At 47.9% G+C, this 25,191-nt stretch overlaps 3 annotated features.

The window, feature by feature from the left end:
• Nucleotides 13,017-13,518: an enhancer, noted in NCBI's record as "H3K27ac hESC enhancer chr12:116806721-116807222 (GRCh37/hg19 assembly coordinates)". NCBI's record gives its function as "activates a minimal SCP1, AML or CMV promoter by ChIP-STARR-seq in primed H9 embryonic stem cells {active_cell/tissue: H9 hESC(primed)}" and the evidence as "EXISTENCE:reporter gene assay evidence [ECO:0000049][PMID:30033119]".
• Nucleotides 21,083-21,619: a transcriptional cis regulatory region, noted in NCBI's record as "candidate enhancer chr12.3954 targeted for multiplex CRISPR interference". NCBI's record gives its function as "positively regulates MED13L gene expression with high confidence in K562 cells {active_cell/tissue: K562}" and the evidence as "EXISTENCE:mutant phenotype evidence [ECO:0000015][PMID:30612741]".
• Nucleotides 23,237-23,326: a silencer, noted in NCBI's record as "silent region_4901". NCBI's record gives its function as "represses an Ori minimal core promoter by ATAC-STARR-seq in GM12878 lymphoblastoid cells {active_cell/tissue: GM12878}" and the evidence as "EXISTENCE:reporter gene assay evidence [ECO:0000049][PMID:35858748]".

The raw sequence follows: 25,191 nt of genomic DNA, 5'->3' as shown, positions 1-25,191 counted from the left end.
GGCAGGAAAGGGACAGGGGTGGGAGCAACATTCCTTGGAGGTTGAACCAGAGCTGGTGGAGGGACCCTCTCCTCCTCCCCTCTTGCCTGTTCCCTCTTCCCTCCTCCTTCCTCTTCCTTCTCAGCCCCTCGCCCCTTCCCAGCAGATTCTATTAAGCAACCCGGGACAAATGAAAGGGGTGAAACTGGGCGGGCGCCTGGCAGGGGGGTCAGCAGGGGCTAAGCGGTCAGGGCACTCGTCCCTGCCTTCCCAGGTTCCTGAACGCTGAGGATTACAGCTTCGACTGCTGCTGTTTAATCAGCTGGTAGCAATTTAACCATTACACCCCAGTGAGAGAATCCTAGACATTTCCTACAGGAGGGGGACGGGAAGACTAAGATGCAAGGAATGCAGAAGGGGGGTGGTGTGGAGACACAAAACAGCTTTATTAAAAAGAAGAAGGAAAGAGAAAAGGAACATGATGTGTCATTGTATCTCAGCTTGAAATAAAGCTCCCAGGGCTGGGAAGGAGAACGCAGACCCCTGGAGATGCTGGGGAGAGGGGAGTTGGAGGGTTGAAACAGGGAAGATGGGTGCGGGTTGGGTGCGGGGGAGGGGACATCAGAGAAGCCTGGATGTGGGATGTGGGAAGTTTTGTCTCCTGCAATGAGGGGCGGTCCCAAGACCTAGAGAAGGCCCTGCCCCATCCAAGCCTTGCCCGAGATGGCCCCTCAGAAACTGGAAACAACAGAGCAGTTCAGCGAGGAGAGACTCACTTTTGCAACCACTGGTCCGTTTGTAAGTGCGTGGAAAATGAGATCGGTAGAAGCGAGGAGAGACTCACTTTTGCAACCTCTGGTCCGTTTGTAAGTGCGTGGAAAATGAGATCGGTAGAAGTGAGGTTCTTTAGCAAATGCACTTCCAGCCTTCAAAAAATGAAAACAAACAAATAAACAAAACTTCTCCAGCCAACTTTCTTTTCTCTGGTCCCACCGTGCCTTAAGTGCCTGTACTTGAAGTCTCCAGCTGGCTGCTGCCCTGAGCCCCCCAAAGCCAGGCAAGAGCCACCTGTGGGGTGTAATGCAGAGCACCGGGAACCTCCGTGGAAGGCAGCCCTGGGAGAAAGCAAGGATGGAGTTTGGGGCGTAGAAAGGGAGCCCTGGGAGAAAGCAAGGATGGAGTCCAGGGCGTAGAAACCTGCCCTAAGATCTGGGGTTTCAGATTTGAGCCCCAGGCCTTCCTTGGCTCACTGAGAAAACTAGGGCAGGTTGCTGAAGCTCCTCTGAACCTCCGCTCTTCGTCTTGATTTACAGGGGTTGGTACACTTTTTCTGCAAAGGGCCAAATAGTAAATATCTTTGCGAGGCATTACAGTCTCTGTGGCAACTATTCAACTTTCTTGCTGTAGTGTGGAAATAGCCATGGATTACCATAAATGAATGCACATGGCTGTTTCCAATAAAACTTTATTGACAAAAACAGCCAGCCCATGGGCTGTAATTTTCTTTTTCCTTTCTTTCTTTTCTTTTCTTTTCTTTTCTTTTCTTTTCTTTTCTTTTCTTTTCTTTTCTTTTCTTTCTTTCTTCTTTCTTTCTTTCTCTCTTTCTCTCTTTCTCTCTCTCTCTCTCTGTCTCTCTCTCTCTCTCTTTCTTTCTTTTTGACAGTTTCACTCTGTCACCCAGGCTGGAATGCAGTGGCATGATCTTGGTTCACTGCAACCTCTGCCTCTTGGGTTCTAATGATTCTCATGCCTCAGCCTCCCGAGTAGCTGGGACTACGGGCGCCTGCCACCATGCCCGGCTACTTTTTATATTATTAGTAGAGACGGGGTATCACCATGTTGGCCAGGCTGGTCTTGAACTCCTAATCTCAAGAGATCCACCCATTTTGGCCTCCCAAAGTGCTGGGATTAAAGGTGTGAGTCGCCACGCCTGGACAGAAAAAAAGTGCAATTTTCTTAGCCAGTTCTAGAAGTAGGAATGATGGTGTCTTCTTCCCAGTGCCTGCCTCCTGGTGTCCAGTGAGAATGAAACACAGTGGTGTGTGGTAGCACATCTCCAGGATCTGAAACAGGATGGCCAATGGCCATCCAGGGCACATGAGTGAGACAGCTGGGGCTTTTCTGACCAAAAAACTTTCCACTGACTTCCCGTCATGTTATGTCAGGGACAGGGAAGACCCAATGCTGAATCAGCAAATAAGCCACTAGTAGGAGTCTAAGAGGATATCGTCTTGGACACAGAGGAGCTGGACTTTGCAGTGTGAAGAGGAGGTTTTCAAAGAGAGGGCATGGGGATTAAAAAGAAAGAAATGGGCCAGGCACGGTGGCTTACGCCTGTAATCCCAGCACTTTGGGAGGCCAAGGTGGGTGGATCACCTGAGGTTAGGAGTTCAAGATCAGACTGACCAACATGGAAAACCCCCATCTCTACTAAAAATACACAATTAGACGAGCGTGGTGGCACATGCCTGTAATCCCAGCTACTCAGGTGGCTGAGGCAGGAGAACAGCTTGAACCCGGTAGGCGGAGGTTGCGATGAGCCAAGATCACACTATTGCACTCCAGCCTGGGCAACAAGAGTGAAACTCCATCTCACAAAAGGAAAAAAAAAAAAAGGAAGAAAGAAATGACATTTCTGCTTAAGACCCAAAAGAGGCAGGAGGACCCAGAGTCTGGTGTGTTGGAGGGAAAATGAGGAAGGAGACAAGCAGGTATGAAAGACTGAGTGCCGCCCCATTTACTACCATGGGCTGGGAACAGACAGGGATGTTCCAGACAAGATGGCTGCAGGATATCGTGGTGAACGTTGGAGTCACGAATGTCACATGCCTGCTTGACCACTTTCTTGTTATGTGGTCTTCAAGAAACGTCTTCAGTCCAGGCGTGGTGGCTCACGCCTGTAATCCCAACATTTTGGGAGGCTGAGGCGGGCAGATCTCTTGAGGTCAGGAGTTCGAGACCAGCCTGGCCAACATGGCGAAACCCTGTCTCTACTAAAATACAAAAGTTACCCGGGGATGTGACAGGTGCCTGTAATCCCAGCTACTTGAGAGGCTGAGGCAGGAGAATGACTTGAACCCAGGAGGCAGAGGTTGCAGTGAGCTAAGACTGTGCCACTGCACTACACCCTGGGCAACAGAGCAAGACACCATGTCAAAAAATATATATATTCACCTCTCTGAATATCCATCTCCTCCTCTGCAAAATGGGTGTTATCCTCTCACTTATTCCCATGTGTCCTGTGGAAGGGATCAAATGGGAAGGTAAAGAGTAATGCTTAACACAGGGCTTGCCTGGCACGCAATAAGCTCTCTGGAAACAGAAGCTATTATTATTACGACCACTATTATTATTACTATTTTTCCTCTTGTGCTCCTCTGCCCCCATTGCCGAAGGGTGTAAACAGGCTAAGGGGACTCCTTGATGCTTAAGTCTGGAAGGTCTAGGTGGTGGCCTCTGCCCTTCACTTTGCCTCAGGATGTGGACTTTGAGCACTTCAAAAGTATCCGGTCTGGGGGTCGGGCACAGTGACTCCTGCCTGTAATCCCAGCATTTTGAGAGGCTGAGGAAAGAGGATCTCTTGAGACCAGGAGTTCACAACCAGCCTAGGCAACAGAGTGAGACCCTGTCTGTCTCAAAAAATATTTTTTTTAATTAGCTGATCCTTCAACCCAGGAGTTCGAAGCTGCAGTGAGCTATGATTGCATCACTGCACTCTAGCCTGGGCGACAGAGCGAGACCCTATCTCTAAAAAAATAAAAGGATCCTGTCTGACTCCTCCATTATTAGGTAGGAGAAAAGGGAATGGGAACCCCTGAGAAGAGGAATGATCAGGCCAAGACCCCACAGCTGGTTAGTGAAGCACCGCCACCTCAACCACTCCCTAAGTGCCAGGCAGAGAACATGGACCGCTCCCTCTATCCCTGACAGCAGGTCTCCAGGAGATGCTTTCCCAGCCCCATTTTCCAGATGTAGAAACGGAGGCTTAAAGTGACTTCATCAGATTCAAATGACTATTACAGTGTCGGCAGAGCTTGGGCTTGAAACTAAGAGGAGGGGACTCCAAACCTCAGGCCCTTTCTTTGGTACACTGAGACAGACACCTCCTACCTCCTAAGAAGCAGCCTAACCAAATATCGAAATCAAGCCCGTCATCTTGGTAGGGTGACCAACCACCCTGGTCTGTCCACAGCTGAGCAGGTTCTGAGACGCTGGGCTTTCAGGGCTAAAACTGGGCTAAAGCCCTGAGCAAACCTAGGGTGACTGTACATCTCGGTGTTACAAACGCCAGGTCCTAAGCTGCCAGCCTTCCCACCCTGCCCTCCGTTCCCATCTCCACATCTGCGTCGTGCTGGGTGTGGGTAGAGCCTTCAATTGCCATTGCTGTGAATCCCCGTCGATCTTCCAAAGTAAGCCTTGTGAAGTCACCTTAGGGCACAACGTACTAAAATTAAAGCATTAGTTAAAATACATAAAACATGAAACAGCGAAAGCAATGGAAACAGCTGAAATAGTATAATAAAACATGTCATTACAGCAGATTAGGATGAAAAATAGTTCTTGCATTATGCCCTGAAGGTTGGCAAACTGGGGCTTCGTAAATATGTCAAGAAATGTACACACAAACGCACACGCATAGATATTTATATACAAAATCTCAGAAGCAGTGGAACCAGCTGAAATGGTAGAATTATGTGCATCTCGCGAATAAAGTGTGCATTATTGCCCTGGTTTCTGTAACACGCTCAGATATAGATGGAGGAGGGGACAGAAATTTCAGAATCTGCAGAATGTCACAGGGTCCTGCCGTTTCCCATCAAGAGTTCCCTGGGAAGGTAAAGTCATCAGTATAAGATCAGCTCTCGGACCCTCGCGCACTCGCCTATCAGAAGTCTCTCTGGACTTGTTCCCTTGGTGTCTGCTACTCCCACTCAGGCCCCACGCGACATCACATTCCTGTTGCTAATGGGTTCACAGTCTGTTTTGCCATATGGGAGGAGGTAGAATTTCTTTTTTTCTTTTGAGACAGGGTCTTGCTCCGTTGCCCAGGCTGGAGTGCTGTGGCATGATCACAGCTCACTGCTGTGACCTCCTGGGCAGAAGCAATCCTCCTAACCTCAACTCTCGAGTAGGGGACTACAGGCATGCACCACCACGCCCAGCTAATTTTTTTATTTTTAGTAAAGATGGGGTTTCACCATGTTGGCCAGGCTGGTCTCAAACTCCTGGCCTCAAGCGATCTTCCCACCTTGGCCTCCCAAAGTGCTGAGGTTACAGGCATGAGCCACTGTGCCCAGCCCAGAATTTCTTAAAGGCAACTACAAGCCAACTTTTACCCACTGTTACTCCCGGCTGGGATTGCCCAACACCTGCATGGGGCCATGGGAAAGGGGGAATAGGTAGGGTGACTGACCAACCGTCCCCACTCGCCCAGGACTGTCCCAGACCTAGCACAGAGAGTCCTACATTGCAGAAAACCCCTCGGTCCAGGGCCAACTGGGATGGATGGTCCCCTCCAATCACGTCCCTCTCCCATGGCTCTTTGCCAACAGTATTCCATTTCTTTCTAATTACATTTCTAAGTTAAAGGGGGACAAAGCAAAGCTAGTGAAATTGACTCAACCCACTCCTGAGTCATTATTTCCCCCACTGGTTCCAAAAGGAAACATTTGACTCAGATTATGAGAATTAGCAGAAAGATATGAATTGTTTGTGTGTCACCAAAGCCCTTGAGCAACGACTGTCCACCCATGATCAGCAAATTAGCAAATTGCTTCTGGGTTGATCTTCCTGGCGGGGCTTGGGGTCTGTTTTATTTCACTGACAGGCACCTGTCTCCGATAGTAGGGCCCTCAGAGTGATAAATTGCATCCATATTTACTCTTCTTCCCAAAGCTAATTGTTGGGGGTGAGGGTTGTGTTTGAAATACCTTTTTGATGTGCTAAGAGCTTCCTACGAGGTAAATAAACAGACCGTTGGGCTTAGCCAGAGGTGTCTGCAGAAGCCAATATCCTAATTCTCGGTAGTTAATGGACATTAACCTCTCCAGCTTTCCCTCTTTCAGCTCACACCCTCATCCTATAATCATTGTCATTACTTATAATAACATTTTACACTGGTAGGTCAGCTTTTCTTCCTAAGTGCTCTAGTCTTGCCTAATGAGTAGCTTTCGAATCTAAATAATGAAGCATTTGCCCTCCTCAGGTTCCAGCTTCTAGTGGGGAGAATGCTTTTCCCCTGACCTTTTGGTTTGAGTGTGCACACATGCACCCACACACTGCATACTCACACACATACACACACGCATACTCACACACATACACACACGCATACTCACACACATACACACACGCATACACACACAATGCATACTCACACACACGCACACACATTCATACACATACATGCATACTCACACACATACACACAGGCATACACACACACATGCATACTCACACACATGCACACACATGCATACACATACATGCATACTCACACACATACACACATGCATACTCACACACGTACACACGCATACTCACACACATGCATGCACACATGCATACTCACATGCATACTCACACATACACACATGCATACTCACACACATGCACACACGCATACTCATGCACATGCACACACCCATGCATACTCACACACATATGCATACTCACACATATGCACACACACATGCATACACACACGCATACTTATATGCCTGCACACACACATACACACATGGAAACACACATGCATACTCACACATACATACATACACGCACACACACATACTCACACACATACACACATGCATATGCACACACACGCATACTCACACACATGCACACACATGCATACTCACACACTCACACATGCATACCCACACACATACATACATGTGCATACTCACACAATGCACACTCACACACGCGCACACACATGCATACTCACACATACATGCATACTCACACACATGCACACACGCATACTCACATGCACACACATGCATACCCACACACATGCACACACACATATGCATACTCACACATACATGCATACTCCCACATGCATACTCCCACACATACATGCATACTCACATGCACACACGCATGCATACTCACACACATACACACATGCATATTCACACACACGCATGCATACTCACACACATGTATACTCATACGCATACTCACACATACATGCGTACTCACACACGCACGCATACTCACACAAATACACACATGCATACTCACACACATGCCCATGCATGCAACTCACACACATACACACATGCATATTCACACATACGTGAATACTCACGCATGCACACACACATGAATACTCGTACACACATGAATACTCACACACATGCACACATATGCATACTCACATGCACGCATACATGCACGCACACATGCATACTCACACGTGCACAAAGACATTCTTACACACACATACACACACAAACACATACACACGCACACACACCTGCTCTATGCATTTGTTTCTCTACAGGATCCAAATAATGAAGATAGCTTCCTTTTTTGTTGTTTTGTTTTTGTTTTTGTTTTTATTTTGTTTTGCTTTTTAGAGTTAGGGTCTGGCTCTGTCACCCAGGCTGGAGTGCAGTGGCACAATCACGGCTCACTGCAGCCTGGAACTCCCAGGTTCAAGCGATTCTCCCACCTCAGCCTCCCAAGTAGCTGGGACTACGGGCACATGCCACCATGACCAGCTGTGTGTGTGTGTGTGTGTGTGTGTGTGTATGTGTGTGTGTTTTGTAGAGATGGGGGTCTCACTATGTTACCCAAGTTGGTCTTGAACTCCTGGGCTCAAGCAATCCTCTCTCCTCAGCCTCCCAAAGTGCTGGGATTATAGGTGTGAGCCACTGCTCCCATTGACTCTCATTTTTTGAGTGCTTAAAATCTGCTCAGTTACTGAGCTACAGGCACTCAGCCTGCATTGATTTTATCTGTGCAAGAAACTCTGTGATATTTCAATGGGGGCAATCAGCCCATTCTACAGAGGGGGAAACCGAGGATCTAAGAGGTACAATAACTGTCTCAGAGTCACATGGCTAATAAGTTACAAAGCAGCCATGACTGTCACCAGGGTCCGCATCCTTAGCCACCACCGAGCCAAATGACCCCAGCCAACTCAGGTCCTCTGAATGCCATCACCCACTAACCTTAGGCAAACCTCAGGGAGAGAAGACAGTCTCAAGAACTCCCTCCCAGTGGGTAGCATTTTGCAGCTACAGAGCCCTGAAGACCAGTTGCTCCATTATAGAAGTGGGAAGTGTCACTGTCCCTGTTGTGCCTGGCGTCCCACTGCTGGGCAGTCTGGACCTGGAGCAGTTGTCTTTCGGAGAGGGTGGCCGGGCTGCCTACACCCTAGCTGGACCCTACTGTGCCTCGCCTGCCCTGGCTCAGTCCGCTTCTCCTGGCCTCCTGTCCCTTTCCAGAGGTTTACAGCACTTTCCCTCTTTCCAGCCAGGAAGGGGAAGAATGTCACCCTGGCCTGTGTCACAGCTGCCACTGCAGGGACAGGAACCCAGTTTCCCAGTCTCTCTGAACCCTCAGGATTCAAGACTGGCAAAGAGAGGAAGTGCCAGTCCCCTTTGCCTCCTTTCTGCTGGCAGCTTGAAGCTATTTGAGGCGTCAAAGTCCCCTGTTTGGTTTGGAGGCAAACGCCACTTGGCGAGGAAGGGGCCTTGTCCTCAGCAAGTGTTTCAGCAGAATGCTAGAGACCAAAATTACACGCCTTCCCCTCACGGCTTAAAAAGCAGCCTTCAAGGGGGTTTTGCCCATGTATAATTCAGGAAGCACGGAAGCTGGAAACTGCAAACTCTGTTGGATTTTGCTTTCTCGGGAGGATCTTTGTCTCAAGCCACAGTTGTTTAAAATTGCAGTGCCGCATGCATGGAATGGAATGGCTTTGACCCCTTGTTCAGGTGACACTTGTCAGGCCTGTCTCACGGAGGAGCCTGCAAGGGGACACAGAGCTAAAAACCTGAGCGGCTTTGGTCTGCGTCCAAAGTTTTTTATCTCTCTTTTTTGCTTTGTCCTTTTCAAGAACACAGAATCATGAAACAAACATCAACCTGCTCTGTTGGAGTCTGAGACTTGGAGGACGGTGCCCGGTGTCTCAGAGGCTCTGAGGACATCTCGCCGTCTGAGGGCGGCAGCTGAAACACCTAGAGACTCTTTAGAAACCAGCCTCAGTGTGTGGTGAAGCCCCCACAAGCCCAGGTGACCACAAGGTCAGAATACTGGGGTCTTCCTGCAGACCGCTGACATCTTATGGGCCTCGTGGGAACCAGCCCTGAGCGTAATCACAATTTCCATTACCAAGGGACATGATGGATCACTCAGGGGTTGGCAACTCTTCAGATTATCTCACTTCCTGGGCTGCTGCGGGAGAGTGGGGGCCCGGAAAGGGCAGACTCCAGAATCAGACCTGGGTTCAAATATCTGCCTTGCTATTCACTGGCTGTGTGACCTTTGGCAACTTGCTGAAGGTCTCTGGGCCTCCTTTTTGTCATTTATAATATGAGTTAATGGTGCCTGCCTGAGGCATTGTGAAAATTAAAGGATTATGCATATAAGTGCCTGCCCCGGCTGGCTCACACCTGTAATCCCAGCACTTTGGGAGGCCGAGGCAGGCGGATCACAAGGTCGGGAGTGCGAAACCAGCCTGGCCAATGGTGAAACCCCGTCTCTACTAAAAATACAAAAATTAGCCAGTTGTGGTGGTGGGCGCCTGTAGTCCTAGCTACTTAGGAGGCTGAGGCAGGAAAATCGCTTGAACCCAGGAGGCAGAGGTTGCAGTGAGCCGAGATTGTGCCACTGCACTCCAGCCTGGGCAACAGAGCAAGACTCCGTCACAAAATACATACATACATACATACATACACACATAAATGCCTGTCCCTTGTGCAGCAGGGCCAGCCTCTCCATTCGGCATAGTAGCCACACTGCCTGTGGACATGAGCTTTGCTGGAGGCCCTGAAAATATTTTGCTGCTCAAAATAAGCAAGGTGCATACCTTGATGGCATTGATGTAAAGGTGGATATAATTGAGTCTGGCTTATATGCATCTTTATAACCATGCAGTCATAAAATATAATTTTTATTTTATTTTTTTGAGATGGAGTCTCACTCTTGTCACCCAGGCAGGAGTGCAGTGGCATGATCACAGCTCACTTCAGCCTTGAACTCCTAGTCTGAAGCAATCTTCCCACATCGGCCTCTGTAGCTGGGACTACAGGTGTGCACCAACAGGCCTGGCTAATTTTTTAGTTTTTGTAGAGATGGAGTCTTGCTGTGTTGCCCAGACTGGTTTCAAACTCTTGGCCTCAAGCAATTCTCCTGTCTCTACCTCCCAAAGCATGGAATTACAGGCATGAGCCACCACCCCCACCCTGAAATTAATTTTTTAAAAGAAAAATGTTATATCCCAACAATGAATTCCCTACTGGAATCGCTTGTCCATATTTTTTTTAAAAAACTTAACTATTAAAATAAAAAAATGTCCGCAGGTGGACCACCACCTAAAATAACTTCGTATCAAGGCTGGGACTATGGTGAGGCCAGTGATGGGCAGGGTTTCAAGAGTAAAAATCAATGTCACGAGAGTGAGGGTCCAGGTCATTGTGGGTAAAGGTCGAAGTTGGACAACTGAGGATAAGATCTTGTCTATATTTTACATTTTGCTATTTTGTCCATCATGGATTTTTTTTCACTGATCTTAATTTTTAAAAAATATTGCACTAAATATTTTCTCTGAATTACAGAGTTGTTTTTGGGGACTGAGACAACGCCTCCCTTGCCTCACCCTATTGCCTGTCCTGTGCTGCAGACAAAGACCTGTGTTCTCCACTTTGAGAAGTGGAGAAGTCCTAGGTCATAGACTTCCTGGGCCAGTGTCTCTGAGTCAGTCGGACCAAGCAAATGGCCAGTAGACATGTGTTCAAGTGCAGTTGGTGGGACGCGATCAGTGTGGGCTGAAGTGGTCGGCAAATGGATTTTGAGAACTATTTTCAAGGCCGAATTAACTTCCAGGCCTGGAGGGACAATTAACTTCTGCTCTTGGACTCCCCTTAATGGACTGAACACTCACTTCCCATCCAAGGTAAACCGTTTACCTCTGCCTCCCTCACTAGCCGTAGGCCTGGTGTTTATAAAGCCATTTGCACTCCCCAGAGAAAGGAGAATGTCTGGTGATTGTTTCATCATTAAATTAACTCTAGGACAACTCAGATGCAGCACGGGGGCGTCCCCGTTCCTGTCCCCCACTGACCCACTAGTGTCCACTGTTTGTAAATACCACGTAACGCCGTGAGCAGGCGTGAGATCTGGTGGAGTGAGCCCGGGCTGGGGCTGGAATGCAGAATTGTACAGTGAGTTTAGACGGTTCTCAGACCACAGAGTTCCCGACATTTCACAGGCCCTTTCCAGCAAAGCTAATTAACTTCTCACTCCCTCGGGCACGGGCAGGACAAGTCATAGGAATTATCGATGTGACCGAGTTTCCTAACAGCTGGTGGGTCAGGGCAGCTTTCTTGCATGGATCTGAGGGGGCACTAGGACCTCGAAGCATATACATGCATGTGAGCACAGACACGTGGGCCTGGAACTCCACCATTTGATGCCATAAAGTTTTTAGGACCCCTGTGAAATGTGCTCTTCAAATGAAGCTCTTGGCCGGGCTCGGTGGCTTACTCCTATAATCTCAGCATTTTGGGAGGCAGAGGCAGGCGAATCACTTGAGGTCAGGAATACAAGACCGGCTTGACTAACATGGTGAAACCCTGTCTCTACTAAAAATACAAAAAATTAGCCAGGAATAGCAGCGCACGCCTGTAGTCCCAGCTACTTGGGAGGCTGAGGCAGGAGAATCACTTGAACCCAGGAGGGTGGAGGTTGCAGTGAGCTGAGATCGCGCCACGGCACTCCAGCCTGGGCGACAGAGCGAGACTCGGTTTCAAAAAAAAAATTTTTTTTTAAATTAAAAAAAAAAATGCAGCTCTTCCTGGAAGTAGACCCTTGAGCTTTTGTGAGTTGATGACCTCACAGGGTTAGGATGCATTCTCAGAACTAGGGCTTGGAATGAATGAGACGCCAAGGGGAAGACAGGAAGGCCAGGCATGAGAAATGCTCAAAAACCACATGGGGAATGTAGCAAGATTGTAGAAGGCAGTGTGCTGACACATGAATTTATTGGCTCAGTTGAGTGCCTGCCATGTGCCAAGCACTGGGCTAGCGTCTAGGAACCCAGTGGTGAATAAGACAGACTAGGTCCCTGCCCTCATGGAGCTCACAGTTTAATTAGGAGACAAACCATAAGCAACGAACCAACTCCTTATCTCAGCCTCTAAGGCCTTATGTGACGTGGCCTCTGGCCTTGTCTCATCTCCTGCCACCCTCCCCCAGGCCATCAAGCTCCAGCCACTTGCCTTTCTTTCTGTCTCTTGAACACACAAAACTCATTTGCACCCCAGGGCCTTTCCACAGGCTGTTCCATCTGCCTGGAATACCTTTTCTCTGGATTTTCTTTCTTTCTTTTTTTTTGAGATGCAGTTTCGCTCTTGTTGCACAGGCTGGAGCACAATGGTGCGATCTCAGCTGACTGCAACCTCCGCCTCCCAGGTTCAAGCGATTCTCCTGTCTCAGCCTCCAGAGTAGCTGGGGTTACAGGCGCCCGCCACCATGCCCGGCTAATTTTTGTATTTTTAGCAGAGAAGGGGTTTTATCATATGGGTCAGGCTGGTCTCGAACTCCTGACCTCAGGTGATCCACTCGCCTCAACCTCCCAAAATGTTGGAGTTACAGGCATAAGCCACCGCTCCCGGCCTTTTTTTTTTTTTTTTTTTTTTTTGACACAGTTTCACTCTGTCGTCCAGGCTGGAGTGCAGTGGTGCAAGCTTGGCTTGCTGCAACTTCTACCTTCCAGGTTCAAGCAATTTTCCTGCCTCTGCCTCCCAAGTAGTTGCGATTACAGGTGCCCACCACCACGCCCGGCTAATTTTTTTTTTTGAGACGGAGTCTAGCTCTGTCGCCCAGGCTGGAGTGCAGTGGCGCGATCTCAGCTCACTGCAAGCTCCGCCTCCTGGGTTCACGCCATTCTCTTGCCTCAGCCTCCCGAGTAGCTAGGACTACTGGCACCCGCCACCACGCCTGGCTAATTTTTTTTGTATTTTTAGTAGAGACAGGGTTTCACCGTGTTAGCCAGGATGGTCTCGATCTCCTGACCTCGTGATCTGCCTGCCTTGGCCTCCCAAAGTGCTGGGATTACAGGCGTGAGACACTGCGCCCGGCCTAATTTTTTGTATTTTTAGTAGAGATAGTGTTTCACCATGTTGGCCAGGCTGGTCTTGAACTCCTGACCTCAAGTGATCAGCCCGCCTCAGCCTCCCAAAGTGCTGGGATTACAGAGTGAGCTACCATGCCCTGCCATTTCCCTGGATTTTCAAACAACTTTCTCCTCAACTCTCAGATCTCATCAAAAAACATCACCTCCTAGAGAAGCCTTCCTGGATCAGCCCGTCTACATTCTGCTTCCCCTCCATCACTTTCTCTCCTGTTGCCTTGTTTTATTTTCTTCTTACTACTTACCACCATCCTAGAGAATTATTTGTTTCTGGGTTCAGTGCCTTTCTGCTCCATTTGAATGTGAGCTCCTTGAAATTAAAGCCCTCGTCTAGATAAAAGAAGCAAACAAAAAGTTAATAAGTGATTGTGACTTGTGACGCAGTAAACCACTCAAAGAGCCAGAATTACGCTGGTAGATGCGGCGGGGGGAGGAGGGGTCAGGAAAGGCCTCCTCAAAGGGCGATGTTTAAACAGAGACCAGCAGGGCAAGAAGAAGCCAGCCTGGGAAGCACTTGGAGGATGCAGAGGAAATGTCAGGCAGAGGCACAGCAGAGGCAGGAGGAAGCCCTGAGGGGCCAACATTGGTATTTTTCAAGAAACTAAAAAGATACTCCCATGGACAGTCAGGCTTGCGTTTGAATTCTGGCTCCTCTGCTGCCTCCCAGCAATGCGGCCCTTGCCCAAATCACTTCTGTCTCCAGGCCTCAATCTCCTCCTCTATAAAATGGGGATACAATCAGCACTTTGGGAGGCCGAGGCGGGTGGATCACAAGGTCAAGAGATCAAGACCATCCTGGCCAACATGGTGAAACCTCATCTCTACTAAAAGTACAAAAATTAGCTGGGCTTGGTGGTACGCACCTGTAGTCCCAGCTACTTGGGAGGCTGAGACAGGAGAACTGCTTGAACCCAGGAGGTGGAGGTTGCAGTGAGCCGAGATCACGCCACTATACTCTAGCCTGGCGACAGAGCAAGACTCCGTATCAAAAAAAAAAAAAAAATCTTCCTTGAACTCCTTTATAAAAATTAAGATAACACATAGAGTTTGGCTCATAGTAGGAACTTAATAGATGTTTATTTCTATCTCCCTCCGCTTCACAAAGTTGTCAGGAGCCACCCCAGGCTGCCAGAACCGTCCTACTTTAAGAGAGGATCCTTTGGGGCCGGGTGCGGTGGCTCATGCCTGTAATCCCAGCACTTTGGGAGGCTCAGGTGGGTGGATCACTACAAGGTCAGGAGTTTGAGACCAGCCTGGCCAACATGGTGAAACCCCATCTCTACTAATAATACAAAATTAGCTGGGTGTGGTGACAGTCATCTGTGGTCCCAGCTACTGGGGAGGCTGAGGCAGGATAATTGCTTGAGCCTGGGAAGCAGAGGTTGCAGTGAGCCAAGATTGCGCCACTGCACTCCTGCCTGGGCAACAGAGCAAGACTCCATCTCAAAAAAAAAAAAAAGAAGACCCTTTGGCTGGGCTCAGTGGCTCACTCCTGTAATCCCAGTATTTTGGGAGGCTGAGGTGGGAGGATCACTTGACCCCAGGAGTTCAAGACCAGCCTGAACAACATAGTGAAACCCCATCTCTACAAAAAATAAAAAATAAAAAATTGGCTGGGCTTTCGCTTGAGCTTAGGAGCTTGAGGCTGCAGTGAGCCGTGATGGTGCCACTGCACTCTAGCCTGGGCCACAGAGCAAGACACTGTCTCTAAAAGAGAATGTTTCCCATCCCCAGGCCCCATGCCCACTACCTCTGCCTTCTCCTAGTATCGGAATCCCGAGTCCCCAGTTGCTCAGTTTCTTCCATTTGCACAGCCTACCTGACCTCATGGGACTTTGTCCCACATCCTCTCACTCACAGCTCCCAAGGGACTGTCCCACATCAGCAACCTAAGCTAGAACCAGACCCCAGAATACCTAAATCCAAGACCGATGTTCCTTCCATTATACCAGGCAGAAGTTTAGAGCTAATAGCCTGCGGTTTTTCAATGTCAAGGCTGTTCCTCACCCTTCACTGTCAACCCAGGAAGCAAGAGCTCTGACCTGCCCACACTTGAGATCCAAGACGTCACTAGCAAAATAATAGTTCCTACCAGCTACCAAGCACGGTCAGGGAGCTAGGTGCACTGCTAAGTCCTTTGCAGACGTGGTCTGATTTTGCCTTCTTCGTAACCCCTGGATGTATTATATTCCCATTTTATAGATGAGTACATTAAAACTAAGAAGTGAAGTGGTTTGCCCATGATCATATAAATGCTAAGACACATAGTTTATAACTCAGGCTGGGGTTATATTAAAACTCTTTAATAACCAGCACAGCATGGCCACTGGCCAATCAGAATAGACGCCAGCTATGAATGCCCAGCATGGCATACGGATGCCTACCAGCTGAACAATAGCCCAGACAGACCGACTCCAGTCCTTTCTGCTGCGGGCGCCCTCGGGAAAGCCACTGCACTTAGAGCAAAAACAAGGAAGCTCCCTGCTGGACCAAACAGCTTGCGGGGAAACAGGAGAGCTGGCACCGATTCCAGCATGTGCAGAATACAGTGTGCCGCCAACAGGCCACCTCTACAAAGCCAGTTAGCATATCATGAAGGGGGAGGGGCTTGGAGGCAAATCCCAGGAGAATGGCCCAGAGTCTAGAGTGCAGTCGCATTGGTGTGACACACAATGGCACACACACAATTGCAGTCACACTGGTGCAGTCACACTGGTGTACCACTGGTGTGGCACACCCAAGTAGATGAGCTGAAGTTGGTGTTCGGAGACCCACAGGGGCCCGAGGACACCAGGCAAGTGAGATTGGGACATCCAGGCCACGGTTCACGTGTCTGAACCCAGTTCGAATTCCTTCACATTATTCAGCCGTAATTCCTTGACTTCTACATAAGACAGCGGCCCTTTGGTCAAACTGCCTGGACTGGAAGCCTACATTCACTACTTGGGTTTTTTGTTTTGTTTTGTTTTTGAGACAGTCTTGCTCTGTTGCCCAAGCTGGAGTGTAGTAGCACGATCTCAGCTCACTGCAACCTCTGCCTTGCAGGTTCAAGCGATTCTCTTGCTTTAGCCTCCCGAGTAGCTGGGACTATGGTTGTGTGCCACCACGCCCGGATAATTTTTGTATTTTTAGTAAAGACGGAGTTTTACCATGTTGGCCAGGCTGATCTTGAACTCCTGACCTCATGTGATCCACCTGCCTCAGCCTCCCAAAATGCCTCAGCTGGGACTATAGGCATGAGCCACCACGCCCAGCCACATTCACTACTTGTTAGCTTTGGGACCTTGACCAAATTGCTTCACTTCTGTCTCAGTTTCCTTATCTATAAAACGTAAAAGCGGTGGTGATTACATACATTATACTTTACAAGTCCTGCAAGCAGTATTCATTAAGTAAATAATAAACAAATGCTTTTCCTAGGATGGTTTATCAAATACACAAGTCACACCAAACTATTCACTTCTTTTTTGACACTTGCACACTTTTGTATCAGTTAGGAATTGTGCTTGACTTCTAGTAACAGGGAACTGAAATAACAGTGGTTTAAACAAGGTAAAGATTTCTTTTCTTAAAAAAGAAATCTTTTTTTAAAAAAAAAAAAAGTCCAGGTTGACATGTCCCCCAGATCATCAATATCCCATGTTCATTCTGTCTTTCCTCTCTGATATCCTTAGAGCATGGTTTCAGTGATCAAGGTCACACAATTACTACTGCAACTCCAGCCATCATGTCTTCATTCCAGGCACAAAGAAGGAGGAAGAAGGGAGGGCAGAAGGGTATCTCAGGTGAGTCAGCCCCATTCTTTAAAGAGATTTCCTGGAAGCTCCACCCAACTACTTCCCACTTAGTTTTTTTGTTTGTTTGTTTGTTTTTTGAGTCTCACTCCGTCGCCCAGGCTGAGTGCAATGACACCCTCTCAACTCACTGCAACCTCCACCTCCCAGGTTCAAGCAATTCTCCTGCCTCAGCCTCCCAAGTAGCTGGGATTACAGGAGCCCACCACCACGCCTGGCTAATTTTTATATTTTTACTAGAGATGGGGTTTCATCATGTTGGCCAGGCTGGTTTAGAACTCCTGAACTCATGTAATCCGTCCCCCTTTGGCCTCCCAAAGTGCTGGGATTACAGGCGTGAGCCACTGTGTCCAGCCTTCCCAGTGACTATTAATAAGATATGACTTAGGAACACTATCTGTAAAGGGAGCTCACAAATGTAGTTTTTCTTTCTTTCTTTCTTTCTTTTTTTTAATTTGATCTATTGCTACTCCTAACAAAAATCTAAATTGAGTTGCTAAGGAAAAGGGGTTACAGATATTGGGTAGACAACCGCAGAATTTGCCTCTTTTTGTCCATGTGTTTTGACATGTATTTTCTCCACACTAAATATCAACCCCTAAAGTCTCACCTGGAATCCTCTACCTCACAGGCGTCCTTTCTACCACCCTGCTTAACACAATGGCCAGATATGGCTATTGGGCACTGAAATGTGGCAAGTGTGACCGTGTAACTGAATTTTTAATTTTATTTACCTTTATATTTAAGCTAAAAAAACTAATACTGCATTCAGTTATTGGAAAACTTTGCTTGGAGCACCTTGGGTATGCAAATTATACTCGAACTTATTCAACCATAAATTTTATGAGATCTAAATACAGATCAAGTATTTCTGATAAAAATTTAGCACCTCAATTGGGATGCTCTATACTTACACAGAGATTTCAAAGACTTCGTCCAAAAAAAAAAAAAAGAATGTAAAATGTCTCATTAATAATTTTTTTTTGGCCGGGTGCAGTGGCTCATGGCTGTAATCACAGCACTTTGGAAGGCTGAGGCAGGCAGATCACTTGAAGTCAGGAGTTCGAGACCAGCCGGGACAACATGGTGAAACCCCATCTCTACTAAAAATACAAAAATTAGTCAGGTGTGGTGGCACACACCTGTAATCCCAGCTACTCAGGAGGCTGAGGCGGGAGAATTGCTTGAACTCGGGAGGTGGAGGTTGCAGTGAGCCAAGATCAAGGTCATGCCACTGCACTCCAGCCTGGGTGACAGAGTGAGACTCTCTGTCTCAAAAAAAAAAAAAAAAAAATGCAGAAAATGCAAATTGTGGGGTAGGGCACAATGGCTCACGCCTGTAAATCCCAGCACTTTGGGAGGCCGAGGCAGGCAGATCATGAGGTCAGGAGATCGAAACCATCCTGGCTAATACAGTGAAACCCCATCTCTACTAAAAATACAAAAATTAGCCAGGCATGGTGGTGGGCACCTGTAGTCCCAGCTACTCGGGAGGCTGAGACAGAATGGTGTGAACCCGGGAGGCAGAGCTTGCAGTGAGCTGAGTTCACACCACTGCACTCCCGCCTGGGCGACAGAGCAAGACTCCGTCTCAAAACAAACAAACAAACAAAAAAACAAAGTGTGGTGACTCACACCTGTATTCTCAGCACTTTGGGAGGTTGAGGCAGGCAGATCACTTAAGCCCTGGAGTTCGAGACCAGCCTGGGCAACATGGCAAAATCCTGTCTCTACAAAAGACACAGAAATTAGCTGAGCATGGTAACGCATTCTTGTAGTCCCAGCTACTCAGAAGGCTGATGTGGGAGGATCGCTTGTGCCCAGGAGGTCAAGGCTGCAGCCAGCTGTGATTACACCACTGCACTCCAGCCTGGGTGACAAAATGAGACCCTGTCTCAATAATAATAATAATAACAACAGTTTTATATTGATTACATGTTAGCATTATAATATTTGAGGCATATTGGGCTAAATAAAATATCTTATAAAAAGTAATTTCACCTGTTTCTTTTTAATGTGGCTACTAGAAAATGTTTCATTACATATGGGGTTCACAGTCTATGTCTGTTGCACAGCTCTGCTTTCTGCCTTCTGCTTTTTGTTTTTTTTTTTTTCTTTTTTTGAGATGGAGTCTTGCTCTGTCGCCCAGGCTGGAGTGCAGTGGCATGATCTCGGCTCACTGCAAGCTCTGCCTCCTAGGTTCATGCCATTCTCCTGTCTCAGCCTCCCGAGTAGCTGGGGACTACAGGCGCCTGCCACCACACCGGACTAATTTTTTGTATCTTTAGTAGAGAGACAGGGTTTCACCATGTTAGCCAGGATGGTCTCGATCTCCTGACCTCGTGATCCACCTGCCTTGGCCTCCCAAAGTGCTGGGATTACAGGCGTGAGCCAGCGCGCCCAGCCCTGCCTTCTGTTTTTGAGTCAGTTATTAATATATCTACATACCATGTAGATGTATTAACATCTACATACTCCCTACTCTACATACCATGGCTATGTGAGAGCTAGAATCCAAGTAGGATTTATATCTACTATTTATTGGCACTTACTATATACTAGGCACTATGTTGTTTTTTTGTTTTTTTTTAATCAAGACCTAACTCTGTCACCCAGGTTGGAGTGCAGTGGCTCAATTATAGCTCATTGCAGCCTCGAACTCCTGGGCTCAAGAAATCTTCCCACCTCAGCCTCCCAAGTTTACAGGCATGAGCCACCCCAGCCAGCTATACACTAATTTTTTCTTTTTTTTTTCTTTTTGAGACAGACTCTCCCTCTCTTGCCCAGGCTGGAGTGCAGCAGTGAGATCTTGGCTCACTGCAACCTCTGCCTCCCGGGTTCAAGCGCTTCTCCTGCCTCAGCCTCCCGAGTAGCTGGGATTACAGACGCGTGCCACCACACCCGGCTAATTTTTGTATTTTTAGTAGAGACGGGGTTTCACCATGTTGGTCAGGCTGGTCTCGAACTCCTGACCTTGTGATCCGCCCACCTTGGCATCCCCAAGTGCTGGGATTACAGGCGTGAGCCACCGCGCCCGGCCTGCACTATGTTTTTAAATGTAATAGCATTTCACAGTGTAATCCTTATTGTAACAGGCAGCATATTAAAGAATATGGGCTTTGAAGAAACACACAGGGCCAGGCGCAGTGGCTCACGCCTGTAAACCTAGCTTTTTGGGAGGCCGAGGAGGGATGATTGCTTGAGGCCTGGAGTTTGAGACCAGCCTGGGCAACGTAGTGAGACCCCATTTCCAAAAATTTAAAACTCAACCGAGTGTGGTGGCACACACCTGTGGTTCCAGGTACTCAGGAGGCTGAGGCAGGACAATCACTTGAACCCAGGAGTTTGAGGCTGCAGTGAGCCGAGATCACGCCACTGCACTCCACCCTGGGCAACAGAGCAAGATCTTGTCTCGAAAAAGAAAAAAGAAAAGAAACACACAGTGTTTGTATCAACTCCACCACCTTCAGCAGGCAGTGCTTTCAGTCTGAGCCTCTACAAAACGGGTGTGTTTAGCACACCTCTCAGGCTTTGTGTGGCTGAGACAAGCATATGCAATGCCCACCCTGGGCACACAGCATGGCACAAAGTATGAAACTCGCTAACTCAGGTTTCTGCCCTTGCATCCCCATGGTTCCTAGCACAGTCCCTGGGACATGAAAGGCATCGGATCAACGTTTGCTCCAGGAAGGAAGCTGGGGGTGGGAGGTGGGACAGGCAGAGACTGGAGCCCAGCTGGGTTTCAGAACAGGTGGGCGAGCTCACAGACGCTGCACACAGCCAGGATCTGGCCTAGAATAGAGGCCGCCTGCTCTGGCTGGATTGGAGCCCCTTCTCGGAGTGACGGGTGACAGGTGCATGCCGTTTGCTCGGCAGGTGCTTGTGGTTGGCAGTGACAACAGAGGCCCAGAGTTGTTGGTTACAAACCCCAGGGAAGGTTCTAAAAACCTTCCCTTCCCCTCCATTGTCCCTGCATTGCACCAGAGGCCTGGAGAAGACCCCATCTAGGACTATTCTAATAGCCACTTTTTCTTGAGCACTTATTATGCCCTAGACACCACATCCCACCTGCAGACAACCCCAAGAGGGAGGGACTGTCTCTCTTCCCATGTTACAGATGGGAGAACTGAGGCTCAGAAAGGGGATATTCGTTGCCCAGTCCTATCTGACCCCAGTCTCCTTAGGTTGATCCCTGGGCTGTACTCCACCATGACTCAACTCCCCTATCTATCACCCATATGCCATCACATGGACTCTTTCCCTCCCCCACCAACGCTGACAGAAGCAGAAGAGACTAGTAAGAAACCACACAGGGAGGGGCCCAGGGGAAGTTGGAGGTACCAGTGAGAACTCCTTTACTGACTTTACAGAAATTCAGCTCAATCCAAATTACATCAAAATGTAAATGTATTGGTGCCATTAACAAAAATGTGCAGGAGTTGTGGTTTCAGGTCCAGCTGGATCCAGGTGCTCAAATAACATCGTAAGAAATCTCTCTCTCTAGGTAGGGTGCGGCAGCTCACACTCGTAATCCCAGCACTTTGGGAGGCTGAGGTGGGCGGATCACCTAAGGTCAGGAGTTTGAGACCAGCCTGACCAACATAGTGAAATCCCATCTCTCTGCTAAAAATACAAAAATTAGCCAGGCATGATGGTGTGTACCTGTAATTCCAGCTACTTGGAAGACTGAGGAGGAGAATGGCTTGAACCTGGGAGGTGGAGGTTGCAGTGAGCTGAGATTGTGCCACTGCACTCCAGCCTGGGTGATAAAGCAAGACTCTGTCAGAAAAAAAAGAAAGAAAAGAAAGAAGGAAGGAAGGGAGGGAGGGAGGGGAGGGAAAGAAAGAAAGAAAAAGAAGGAAGGAAGGAAGGGAGGAAGCGGAGGGGAGGGAAAGAAGGAAGGAAGGGAGGGAGGGAGGGAGGGGAGGGAAAGAAAGAAAGAAGAAGGAAGGAATGGAGGGAGGGCGGGGAGGGAAAGAAAGAAAGAAAAAGAAAGAAGGAAGGAAGGAAGGAAGACCGGTGCGGTGGCTCACGCCTGTAATCCCAGCACTTTGGGAGGCCGAGGCAGGTGGGTCACGAGGTCAGGAGATTGAGACCATCCTGGCTAACATGGTGAAACCCCGCCTCTTCAAAAAAAAATAATAAATAAATAAAATTAAAAAATTAGCCGGGCGTGGTGGCGGGCACCTGTAGTCCAGGCTACTCGGGAGGCTGAGGCAGGAGAATGGCGTGAACCTGGGAGGTGGAGCTTGCAGTGAGCTGAGATCGTGCCATTGCACTATAGCCTGGGCGACAGAGCGAGACTCCGTCTAAAAGAAACAGAAAGAAGGAAGGAAGGAAGGAAGAAAGGAAAGAAGGGAAAAGAAAAGAAAAGAAAGAAAAGGAGGGAGGGAGGGAAGGAAGGCAGGAAGGCAGGGAGGGAGAAAGAAAGAGAAAGAAAGAGAGAAAGAGAAAGAAAGAAAAGAAAAGAGAAGAGGAAATTTTCCTACCACCAGCACATTGAGGGCGGGGAATCGTCAGAAGTTCACAGATCAGAGGATTGGATTCTGTCTTTGCATTGAACCTGGCAAAGTGAGGTAGAGAAAAATAAAAAAGGCCCCCAGCCTCCCATGCCTGCATATCTTGAAGTTTGTGGTCAAGATCACAGCCAAAGACTCACACCAGCTAAGTCACAAAGTTTGGCTCAGCCTGGGGCTTCCTGGAAACCACTAAGCTGAAGAGGTTCGTGAGGTCCCCACAGTTCATTTAGAATTCACAACCTTCCCCTATGACATTTTTGTTTCTAACATAGATCTCCCCTAAGGAAAGGGATAGAGCTGCCACAGAGAACAAAATGCTCTTCAGCCCTGAGTTCATCAGTTCTTGCTGTACATAAACACCTTTTTCCCCCCCCGTAACACAGGAAATGCAGGAAACCAGCACCAGCTGATAAAAAAAAAAAGACCCCCCCCCCCCCACACACACACACCCACACACACACACACACACACACACCCACACACACAAGCTTTCCAACTTGTCCAGAAAGTTGCCCACAGCACTTCTGGCCACGCTGGGCTGGGCCACTGTGACGTCAGGCCGGCAGTCAGCCAATGGAGGAATGGTTCTGACTTTCTCATCTGCATATTGCGGTGGCATTGGTTCAGATTTCAGGGCCGTTTGTATTGTGGTGGTTTCTTTATGTTCAAGGTTATCCACACCAGGCAGAGGACAAACTCCACTCCTGGCCTTCCTGCCCAGCTAGATTTAAGGATTGTAACCAGGACAGTGAGTCCCTTCTGGGAAAGGGGCCTCGTGGAGGTTATGAAATCCAGCAGGTCATGGAAGGAGAAACGATTGACAATCCAGACGGGATGGAGGCAGGAGTTGGCTCAGTAACCCCATCTTTCCTATCCACCAGCACTCCCCTGCGCTTCCCAAGTGATTTAATTATCCATTCTTTAACTGCAACTCGGTTAGCCCTGAAATTTGGGTGAAGAGAAATCAGACACAGGTTACTTGAATTACTATGCTTGGTTTTATCTTGTAGACGAATAACTCAGGCATGTGAATTGAACATGCAAATGTGTGCAAAACAACATGCATAATTTAAGATTCTCAAATTAACAGAGGAGAAACAATTGAGTAACCTCACTGCTTTCTCTGAAGCACAGTTTTCTAAGAATATTGTAACCATTTTTTTTTTTTAGCTGTCTGACAGAAGGGATTGGAAAATAGAAGGAATTTAAAGCAAAAGGGTGGATGTAGCTATCAGTGGCAAGAAAAATGCAGGGAGATTGCAATATTAAAATATAGTCAAATTTCACTTACTCGGATATCACTGAGTTTGGATTTGGTGTAAATCACCTCAAACTTCCCTTTACTTTGATGCTAACTATAAATACGGTATTGGTGTGTATTAGAGCTCTGGTTCTCACCTCCAAGGTTTGATTAAATAAGTCTGGGTAGAAATAAAGAAATTATAACAAGTGTCCCAAATATTTCTGTCAACGGGGGACTACCGCTGAGAAACTGCCTTGATTTTCCAAGCCACTTTTAATTTTAAATGTTTATTTCCCCATGGTCTTCACAAACCATTGAAATATCTCAGCAACTAAAATATTCCAGCATGCAAACTTGATCTCTTCGATTGACTACCCCACCCAAAAGCTGTGCAGAAAGCCCCCTAGCACGTACACTGATTTGGACTGGAAACTGGAGCCGCCGTCGCTGTGAAGAGATGTGAAGTGACCAGACTTCCATGTGTGATGATTAATTTTATGTGTCTACTGGACTAGGTTAAGGGATGCCCAGATGGCTGGTAAAACATTATTTCTGGGTATGTCCGTGAGGGTATTTCCAGAAGAGATTAGCATTTGAATCGGTAGATTGAATAATGTTTGCCTTCACCAATCCAGGTGAGCGTCATGTCATCCACTGAGAGCTCAAATAGAAAAAGGTTTAGGAAGCATGAATTTGCTGTCTGCTTGAGCTGGAACATCACCTTCTCTTGCCCTCAGGCATCAGCACTCCTGGTTTGGGGGACTTAGGATTCAGACTGGGACCTATGCCATTGGTTTCCCTGGTTCTCAGGCCTCTGGGCTTCATTGGACTGGAACTATACTACCAGTTTTCCTGGGTCTTCAGCTTGCAGATGGCAGATTGTGGAACTTCTCAGTCTTCATAATTGTGTGAGCCAATCCCCCATAATAAATCTCTTTCTCTATATCTACACATTTCCTATTGGTTCTGTTTCTCTGGAGAACCCTGAGTAATACAGCCTATAATAGACCAAGCGCCCCAGACGCTGGCGCTGCTATCCCAATTCTGCAGCTCTCGGCCAGCAACTGAGCACGTCAGAGACACTAAGGCAGCCTGTTCATGGGAGGTGCAGGGCTCCTCCAATGGTGACTTGAGCTTGAGAATTCTCCAAGGGCCTTCCCAAACCTTCCTTAGACTGCATGGGAGTCCAGGACACTCCCACCCAAATTTCTTCTTTTTAAAAAAAAATTTTTTTTACCCATCATAAACTAGATCCTACCCAACTTTCCCTTCCCTTCCCTCCCC

The sequence above is a fragment of the Homo sapiens genome, chromosome 12 (genome assembly GCF_000001405.40).
Source record: "Homo sapiens chromosome 12, GRCh38.p14 Primary Assembly".
NCBI classification, from domain to species: domain Eukaryota; kingdom Metazoa; phylum Chordata; class Mammalia; order Primates; family Hominidae; genus Homo; species Homo sapiens.
Note: the sequence above shows the minus strand (reverse complement) of the source record. Positions and strands in the feature narration are given on the sequence as shown.